This window comes from Homo sapiens, chromosome 22, assembly GCF_000001405.40.
Source record: "Homo sapiens chromosome 22, GRCh38.p14 Primary Assembly".
In the NCBI taxonomy this organism is placed as follows: domain Eukaryota; kingdom Metazoa; phylum Chordata; class Mammalia; order Primates; family Hominidae; genus Homo; species Homo sapiens.
Window position 1 is genome coordinate 32,342,869 of NC_000022.11, and position 10,496 is coordinate 32,353,364.

The 10,496-nt window shown below is 40.3% G+C and overlaps 1 protein-coding gene and 1 long non-coding RNA gene across 5 annotated transcripts in view; both read right to left on the bottom strand.

The window, feature by feature from the left end:
- The window catches only part of LOC107985561 (uncharacterized), a 29,247-nt gene extending 25,732 nt beyond the window's left edge, over positions 1-3,515 (bottom strand). The window contains exon 1 of the long non-coding RNA XR_001755500.2: positions 144-3,515. This is a non-coding gene — a long non-coding RNA (uncharacterized LOC107985561). The remainder of the gene's footprint in view (positions 1-143) is intronic.
- The window catches only part of SLC5A4 (solute carrier family 5 member 4), a 136,600-nt gene that overhangs the window by 124,405 nt on the left and 1,699 nt on the right, over positions 1-10,496 (bottom strand). For 2 of the 4 annotated variants that reach the window (XM_006724308.4, XM_011530342.3), the window contains exon 2: positions 9,970-10,146. Coding sequence is in view for 1 of the 4 variants with exons in the window: in XM_017028920.2 (XP_016884409.1) it covers positions 10,009-10,115 (107 nt within the window). In the remaining 3 variants the exon portion in view is untranslated. Of the gene's footprint in view, positions 1-9,969; positions 10,147-10,496 lie in introns of those variants that run through there. The other 2 variants (XM_017028920.2, XM_011530343.3) reach the window with 2 other exon arrangements.

Here is a 10,496-nt window from a genome sequence, read left to right on the forward strand (position 1 = left end):
GGCTGCTAGATCACATTGTTGACAACTGCTATTTCCAAGTTTTGTCTTTTTTCCCCCAATCCCTGCCATGTAGCCATGGCTCCTGTACAGTTGAGTATTTAATCAAACACAGAACTGAAAAAATCATCCCTTTCAGATCTTACATGGTTGGTTGTTGAATACTTCTGTAATCCTAAAACTTGTTTGTCTTTCTCAGCGGCCTTCTAATACTCTCTCATGCTTTGCTGCATTCTGAAGGTGACAAAGGTCTTTATGACCATGTCATCTCAAACTGTGAAATAAACTGGTCACAACTGTGACACTTTTGGCAGGTGGTTTCACACCCCCACACCTTCCTTTTTCCTAACCATCTTCCAGTTTAGAATGAATGTGTGCCACGGTGTGTTCTGGCCATAGAGACATAGTCAGAAATCTGCTAGATGGGGCCTTTGGGGAAGACACTGCTAACCTGACAGAAAAGGACAATCAGCTGACATATCTCCTTGCCTTTTTCCTCCTTAGTCCTTTTCCCTTGTTCCTATCTGGATGGCAGATGAGATATGATGGCAGATGGAGGCATGATGAGAAAAACAACACGGTAAAAGCAACACTCTAAGAATCTTCCATTTTAAGAAATGGAGAAAAGTAGGGTTGCTGATGGCATCACAGAGTTGTCGGCTGCCAACCTCCAGACTCTATGCTACATGAAAACATAAATCTCTATTTCTCTTAGCTACTGTTAGTTAGATTTTCATTGCTTACATCCATAAGCAGTCTTAACGGATAAACTATCAGCTAATCTTCATGCATAGCTACTACATTTTTGTGGTCTCTACCCAAACTTTTCAAGGCTCTGTTGATGAACCCAATTATCAAGTCTGAGGCAGCACTAGATAAATTATCAATTAGAAAAGCACATTTTAAGTCATGCAAAATAAAACAATGCTAATACAACTTTTCTACTTCACCTTTGTTCAATACACATTTTAAGGAGTGAGTCAGAAGAGAAGCAGAATCATTCCACTGGTTTGTTATATTGAACTCATCCCTGGCATTATAGATCTAATAAGTAAGTCTTTAGTGTATATCTCCACCCACATCTTAACCTGTAGGCTTCGAACAGTTGTAAGAAAATGCTTAGCAACATAAATAATGAGACTGTAAAAATGTGAACAGAAAGGAGAGATGATATCAGTGATATCTGTAAGCGCTATGGCAGTGAGGGTGGATAGAATTCAGCTTGTGTGATAGATTAAAGAAAACAGGATGAGAAGGCTAGTTTTCAATAGGAAGAAAAGACATCGCTGGGTTCAACGTGTGACATTGGATGAGTCAGTGTGATATCCACAAAGAAATGTCAGGTTTAAAGGTCAAAAGAGACCTTTCTGAGCCACATTTGCCTCAGTTCACTCCTGCTGTGTTTTGTTTTTCATTGCACTAGTTTCCAGATAGCATTACTGTAGACACACACAAATATAAGAATACATACGCACATATACTTTGATGAGCCTTCTATTTCTCATTCCACATGTCCCCAGCTCTTATTTAAACCTTAATTAAAATCCCTTCTAAAAATCTTATTCACTAACAAAGATGCAGGAAAGTATATGTTTTTATGTACACGTACATAAAGTTTTTATTGCATCTAAGTAACTGTCTCTTATGCGATATTGACAAGACATAAATGCTTTCAATATTAAATCCATGTAAATATCCTGCAAAAATATATTAAAACTAGAAATGAGATTTTCAGTATTCTTTTTGTAGCGATTGGCAGATTTTAATATTCAAGAAAAATTAATTTCATCATACACATTAAAAATATAGGAAATTTCATGCAGACATGAAGCTTCCAATTCAGCTTTTATGGCAACTTTTAGAATGACAGTTACATATAAATACAGTATATTTTACAGTTAACAAACTTCATAATTTTATATTGAGATTCATACAGCTTCTCCTTATATTGTACACATTCCCCACCTTGCTCACTGATTAGCGTACCCTGTATCTGCACTGCTTCAGAATACGGAAATTAAAGAAAAAAACCCACAAGAACAATGGACTATCTCCTCCCATTTCACAAAGTATATGAAAATGTTTGTGTATACAGCTAATTTAAGAAAAACATTTTAAACTTTAAGGCTTACATACTTTAGTAGCTAGGACTAAAATTAATACAAAATTAAAGAAATCCTCCAGGGATACTTCTATTACTGACTGATAACCACATTTTCAAGTTTAGAATGTATTAACTGCAAAAGCTGTAAGAAAAAAAGTGAGGCAAATTTGTATAGAACATTTAAAAAACAATATTCATGATATGAGGGATAAATTAACAAATGAAGTAACCGATTTCAGAATTAACTAAAACATGTGCTACAATTTAGAAATGTAACATTATTAAAGAAAACCTGATAGAAAAAGATTAATTAATAAAGCCAACCCACCAGTGTCAACGTGTTTTTGCCTGTGAGAAAAACAAAGATCATTTCTTTTGATACAAGTTGTAAAAAAGTGAATGTTAGTCAGTGAATAAAAAGCACATCTAAGCCATTCAGAAAACATCATGCATTCCTTTCTGTTCAATTGATTTCTTAAAAATACGTAGTTTGCAAGTTTTTTTCTTTAAAAACAATAATTTGAGTCTTTTCTTCCTTGCCACTAAATTCAAGCATTCATGTAAATAAGAATTCCCACCAAATGAACATCTGCTAAGTAATGAGGGACATGAAAAAGAGAAATCTTAAAAAAATAAAAACAAACACAAAAACAGGTTACAGACTTCCCAGTTTTGACATGTCAAATTAACTGCATCAAACTCTCTATTGCATAATGAGAGTAAAGGGCACAAAAGTCCCATCACTGTACACAGAAAAGGTCCCCCCAACTAGTAAGATGCCAAATAGGGTAGTGAGTCCCCAGCCTAAGTGACAACAAAGGTCTAAAGATTTACAAGTAAGTTTTCCTGTTAAAACATGACATTTATGCGACCAGCATGTTACTGAGATTAAATCCGTCTAATTTAAATTGCCACAGAGGTTATTTAAAGCAATCACAATCATCTGTGAAAATATTCAACAAGAGTTCTTCCTTTTCTCCAAGAAAAGGCTAAAACATTAGTCATCTCTACTTTCCAAGCTACTGGAAACAGAATAACATACATTAAAAAATACAAAGGAAAACTCCCTCCAATACAGATCTGCTAGAGGTAGAAATTTAAAGCAGGATATACTGTTTAAGCTCCATCTATCAGGGAACAAAATTGGTATTAATCTGAAATTACATGATGGCTGCGGCTTACAATACTGAAGACACAGACCATAGGCAGCAATTTATCCCTGAATTTCATAATCAATATTGCCAACATTAATACCATTATGACAGTTTTTCCTAGTACATAATTGTTTTAATGAAAAAAGTGCTTGCTTTCATAATCCAGATAATCTAAAGAAAAGATATTATTGTCGCTACCAATGACTTTCTTCACAGAATTGGAAAAAACTACTTTAAGTTCATATGTAACCAAAAAAGAGCCCACATCGCCAAGTCAATCCTAAGCCAAAAGAACAAAGCTGGAGGCATCACGCTACCTGACTTCAAACTATACTACAAGGCTACAGTAACCAAAACAGCATGGTACTGGTACCAAAACGAGATATAGACCAATGGAACAGAACAGAGCCCTCAGAAATAACGCCACATATCTGCAACTATCTGATCTTTGACAAACCTGAGAAAAACAAGCAATGGGGAAAGGATTCCTTATTTAATAAATGGTGCTGGGAAAACTGGCTAGCCATATGTAGAAAGCTGAAACTGGATCCCTTCCTTACACCTTATACAAAAATCAATTCAAGATGGATTAAAGACTTAAACGTTAGACCTAAAACCATAAAAACCCTAGAAGAAAACCTAGGCATTACCATTCAGGACATAGGCATGGGCAAGGACTTCATGTCTAAAACACCAAAAGCAATGGCAACAAAAGACAAAATTGACAAATGGGATCTAATTAAACTAAAGAGCTTCTGCACAGCAAAAGAAACTACCATCAGAGTGAACAGGCAACCTACAAAATGGGAGAAAATTTTCGCAACCTACTCATCTGACAAAGGGCTAATATCCAGAATCTATAATGAACTCAACCACATTTACAAGAAAAAAACAAACAACCCCATCAAAAAGTGGGCGAAGGATATGAACAGACACTTCTCAAAAGAAGACGTTTATGCAGCCAAAAGACACATGAAAAAATGCTCATCATCACTGGCCATCAGATAAATGCAAATCAAAATCACAATGAGATACCATCTCACACCAGTCAGAATGGCGATCATTAAAAAGTCAGGAAACAACAGGTGCTGGAGAGGATGTGGAGAAATAGGAACACTTTCACACTGTTGGTGGGACTGTAAACTAGTTCAACCATTGTGGAAGTCAGTGTGGAGATTCCTCACGGATCTAGAACTAGAAATACCATTTGACCCAGCCATCCCATTACTGGGTATATACCCAAAGGATTATAAATCATGCTGCTATAAAGACACATGCACACGTATGTTTATTGTGGCACTATTAACAATAGCAAAGACTTGGAACCAACCCAAATGTCCAACAATGATAGACTGGATTAAGAAAATGTGACACATATACACCATGGAATACTATGCAGCCATAAAAAATGATGAGTTCATGTCCTTTGTAGGGACATGGATGAAGCCGGAAACCATCATTCTCAGCAAACTATCGCAAGGACAGAAAACCAAACACCACATGTTCTCACTCATAGATGGGAACTGAACAATGAGAACACATGGACACAGGAAGGGGAACATCACACACTGGGGACTGTTGTGGGGTGGGGGGAGGGGGGAGGGATAGTATTAGAAGATATACCTAATGCTAAATGACGAGTTAATGCGTGCAGCACACCAACATGGTACATGTATACACATGTAACAAACCTGCATGTTGTGCACATGTACCCTAAAACTTAAAGTATAATAATAATAAAATTAAAAAAAGAAAATGAACTCATAACTATAAAATTACCCACAAAAAAAAAATCAATGCCTATTAAAAAACGGTTCAATTTAAAGAACAGAATTCCAGTTCTCAGCTCCAACACTGATCAGCTTCGACAAATCTGTTCCCCTCTCTGGACCTTGTTTTTTGGATACTTCACATGGGGATAATAACAGCATTGACGGCTGGGTTGTGGTGAGAATTAAGGAAGAGAGTCTGCATAGTAAATCCTCCATAAACATGGGCTTCTGTGACTTAGGGTGAGCTCCTGGAGGACAGGGAGGTGTCCCGTTTTTTCCAGGACACCTCCAGGGCCCCACCCCAGGACTTCGCTCTGTGCCAGACACGCAGTAGAAACACAGATTGCTGAAGGAACTGAGTCTCCATTTCTGTGGCTACTGGCCAAAGACCCAGAGAGCCAAGGCAGGCTTCCAGAATGCCCTCCCCACCCAGGCCAACTCTCCTGTGTGTATCCATCTCATTTCCTGGGTAGGTGAGGGCAGAGCAGCAGCCCAGGCCTGGCCTTCTGTGCTGAGTCTGGTGGGGGCCAGCAGCAGCTGCTCCTCCAGGGGAGTGCCTCCCAGTGGAGGCCAGGAAGGAGGGGAGAGCTGGGGGTGGTGGTGTTACCAGAAAAGGGTCCCGATCCAGACCCCAGAGAGAGCTCTTGGATTTCTCAAAAGAAAGAACTCAATATGAAACCAAATTTTATTTTTACGTTAGTACATCTTTAATGTTAAAGCTACTTTTTAATAATAAAATTTTATGAATCTATCCAGTTTTAATTAATGACTATAAGGTAAGATTTTCGTAACTATTTATAACTCTTTATAACATTTTTTCTTGTTAAAGAACTGATCAATGTTCCAAAAAACCCTATTATTTTGACATATGGGCCCAGATTCTGGCTCTGTTTCAGTGCCTTCTGTTTTAATATTTAATTTATGGAAGAACTAAATAATACCCTTTTCATTTTGGTCAACACGCTCAGACACACAATTCTTTACAAAGTTAAGTTTCATAAATGTCCCATAACTTGCTTAAATTTTATTTTCTTTCAGCTAAAAATAATACTTAAAATTTCTAAGTTTAGACAAAACTCTTTGTTGTTGTTGTTTTTTTAAGACAGAGTCTTGCTCTGTCGCCAGGCTGGACTGCAGTGGTGCGATTCGGCTCACTGCAACCTCTGCCTCCCAGGTTCAAGTGATTTCCCTGCCTCAGCCTCCCGAGTAGCTGGGATTACAGGCGTGTGTTACCAGCCTGGCTAATTTTTTGTGTTTTTAGTAGAGACAGGGTTTCACCATTTTAGCCAGGATAGTCTCGATCTCCTGACCTCATGATCCACCCACCTTGGCCTCCCAAGGTGCTGGGATTACAGGCGTGAGCCACTGCGCCCGGCCTTCCCACGCCTTTTTTAAAAAATCAAAAACAGGTAATATTTCTTTTTAGTATAAGCAGTTTTAATTACGTACCAGGTGCAGAGTCTAGGATACAAGACAGAACTGCAGATAAAGTCAACTCTTTCTAGCATAGCTAGGAGGCATGGCTAACTCCACCTGTCCCAGGGCCTTACATAGAAATCTAACAGCTCCAAACCACATAATCTGAACAATTTTCTAAAGTCAAAGAAGTGGTCTATGACATTAAAGCACTTAGCAAATTTAACCTCTGACTTAATTTACACCAAATGTCTAAATTTTGAAGACATTTTCATTTTACCAATAACTTTTAAAAGCCTTTATTCCCCAAAGATTACTGAAATCACATGAACTAAAAGGCATTAGAGCTTCTATTTTTCTTAAGAAGTATTTGAGAGCTTTCATTCTCTTTAAAGCCAGTTAATTAGAACTCCTTTATACAAACATCACACATACAGCACTTCTAGACAAGATTGAGCAGTTCTAAGTTTTTCTTTCCCATATTATGGCTTTCTGACTTGTCCTATATTTCTCTCTTTTTCTAAATAGTCATTCTACTTTAGGACAAGAATTTGTAATACAAAATCCTCCCTCCCATAAAATCTCTTTCCTTCATAACCTTCTTTACCATAAATACACCTTCTTATCCGCAACTTTCTTTAGCTCTCTTTCCCCAACTAATTTCTGATGCCCGCCCTCAACAAAAAGGTCAGCTAAAGCAAGGCAAAACAAAGCAGAGCCTTCCCCAGGTTTTGAGAGGGACCTGTCTGCTTACACTTCTTGGGGGTCCATGAGGAAAACAGAGGCTCCTCCTAAAATGGGGTCTCTGGCACCTTCTGTTTTTCCCAAGGACTCCCAGGCTGCCAGAAATTACCTTAGCTCCTCTCATGTGGCCATCAAGAGTGACAGCAAGACAAAGACTACCGAAATAATTCAGTCAACTGAGAAGAAAAACTTAATACTGCCCCCATTGTAAAGATGGATACGCGGAAGTGCCACGCAGTTTAAAAATTCATGTACACATACAGTTAGGCTCCAAAGCTCACTCAACCATCCTGTAAAAGTCTGCTAACACTACGCCCAGTCACTGATGCACTTGGTATGGTAGCTCATGGCCCCCTTAGAGCTTAGAACCTGGGTTTCATGTCCTCATCTACAGCTATATAATTTAACAATTTTCCTCTGAATTTGTTGGCTTCTACCCCTATATATCTCAAATTGTATTAATATTACTCAATCTTAAAGGAGACTGTGATGCCTTTAGTCTGTAGAAACATTAATCTGTAAACAAATGACTACATGAGGTTAACGGTATTCAAATTTTTTCTATATGCTTTAAAACACTAAGGCTATGTATTGAGAAACACACCTAAGAAACTGCAACCGATCTACTCTGGACAAAAATTTAGACACGTCTTCAAAATAAGCTATATAGTGGTACTTAGGCATATTTTTACACATATCAACAGTATTTTACATATTCATGACCTTAAAAATAATTTTAAAAGTGTAAAAATTATAGACCTTATATATTTGTTGGCTTGAAAAAAATGATACAATATATATTGTTTCCTTAAAGCAGTCAATACAATGCATAAATTTCTAGAGAAATCAGTAAAAAAAAAAAAAGTTCATAACAAAGGTAGTAACATTAGGAATAAAAGAGGGCTCAACACTGCAGGTTCTTAAAGGCAAAAGTTAGTGAAGCATTGTTTTTGGTTGTGAATCTTGCCCTAAAAACATTATAATTCCACATGATCCTCCCCTTCCTTTTCCTGTTGCAACGATGTGATGAACCAAATTTGCTTATGCAGATGACAATACTCTCAGAAAATGGTGGCAGAGAAATAAAATGAAGGGAATATGGTTCTCTTAATGATCTCATACACTGGAACTTATTACCTCCATGCCTCTTGCCTATCTCCAGACTAATATGGGAGAGAGAGAAAATGGCTGTTTGCAACCAATATTTTATTTGACGCTTCATTTTTTGATTCCCCAAATAACTACTTACAACGAATTAACAGGATATGAAAGCACAGCTACTCAAGAATCTAAATAATTATCCAACTGATTTTTTCCTCATCTCTAAAACAATAACGGACCGATCATTTTTAAAATACAACACACTGGGCCGGCGAGGTGGCTCACGCCTGTAATCCAAGCACTCTGAGAGGCTGAGATGGGAAGATCACAAGGTCAGGAGTTCAATACCAGCCTGGCCAACATGGCGAAACCCCATCTCTACTAAAAATACAAAAATTAGCCGGGCACAGCAGTATTCGCTTGTAATCCCAGCTACTCAAGAGGCTGAGGCAGGAGAATTGCTTGAACCTGGGAGACAGAGGTTGCAATGAGCAGAGATCACCACTGCACTCCAGCCTGGGCAACAGAGCAAGATTCCGTCGGGGCGGGGGTGGGGGGCGTGGGGGGAGGGTGGGGGCGGTGGGGGGAGGGCGGGGGGGGGGTGGGCGGGTGGAATACAATGACAAGTCGTCTATTTTTAACTCAGTTTTGGACTGTTGTTTGTTAAGGCCATTGCTTGTGATAAAGAAAACAAAGGGAGGAGGAGGAGAAACAAGAAAGGACACAAGAAATAGAAGCAGCAGCATAAGAAAATGAACAGGAACAAGAAAATGATGATAAGCAGAAGAAAAACCAGGCTGGAAAAAAAGAAAAAGAACAGGTAAGAGAATCAAGGAGACCTATTATACATTTTGTCCCCTTCCTGATTCATGAAATTTAAAAAAGTCCAAGAAAATGTGGCACATATGCACCATGGAATACTACACAGCCATAAAAAATGATGAGTTCATGGCCTTTGTAAGGACATGGATGAAGCTGGAAACCATCATTCTCAGCAAACTATCACAAGGACAAAAAACCAAACATCGTTATGTTCTCACTCATAGGTGGGAATTGAACAATGAGAACACTTGTACACAGGAAGGGGGACATCACATACCAGGGCCTGTTGTGGGATGGGGGGAGGGGGGAGGGATAGCATTAGGAGATATACCTAATGCAAATGACGAGTTAATGGGTGCAGCACACCAACATGGCACATGGATACATATGTAACAAACATGCACGTTGTGCTCATGTACCCCAGAAATTAAAAAAAAAAAAAGTCCAAGACTACCCTGACAAAAAACCAAGCAAAATGATACACAAATAGTTACCCCCCAAACTTCTGTTAATAACATAATGGTGCCACTCACACCTGACTCAGGTGCCAGCAGGAGGAGGGCGCCCTCCAGATTCTGCAGGAGATGCGGGGAAGACTCCTCCTTCCCCTGGCTGCACCTCCACCGCTGTCACAGAGGCCCACAGCTTCCTACCCACCCCAGGCCAGGCAGGGCTGCCCCCCAACGCTCCGACCTGCCTTCCCGGCCCCCAAACTTGCTGCTGCTGCTGCCACAACTAGCACCGATGCTAATACAACTACTACTGCTGTCACCCTCAACGCACAGGCCCACCCTACAAGGCTCCTAACACCTGACCACTGCACTGCCTGTGCCCTGGCGGCAGCCAGCCGCCATCCTACCGCTCTGGTGCTCTTCAGTTTTCATTGCCGCCCTCCTACCACTCCAGCGCTGAGTCTTTAGTCTCCATGGCCGCCACCAACCACAGCGAGGCGAGCGGTGGTGCCACAAGCTCCAGCCTCCAGCAGGCGGCTCCTCCTCCTGGCATGAAACAACTGGGCAGGCAAAGCCAAGAAAGCCTAGAACAGGATGCAGAGAGTGGTAGCGTTAGAGCCTCACCTTGGCATGCTGGCCACTGGATGGCAGAGGCCGGTTTCAGCGAAGGCACTCACGCCCACCCTCCAAAGTCCAGCCTCTCCTTTTGGCCCAAGTTGGCCAGGAACTAGGGCCTGGAGTGGGGACTGGAGACACCACAGTGCCCGGGCTTCCTACTCTACTAGAACCGCTGGGCCCACCCTGGCTGCGTTCCTCGGGAAGCAGGAGCAGCAAAAACTGAACCCCAGCCAGCCCTCCCAACCCTAGTGCTGGTTCCCGTTCCTGACGCCTCCACCCACGGGGCCCTATCACCCCGTAGTGTCAGCTACTGCGT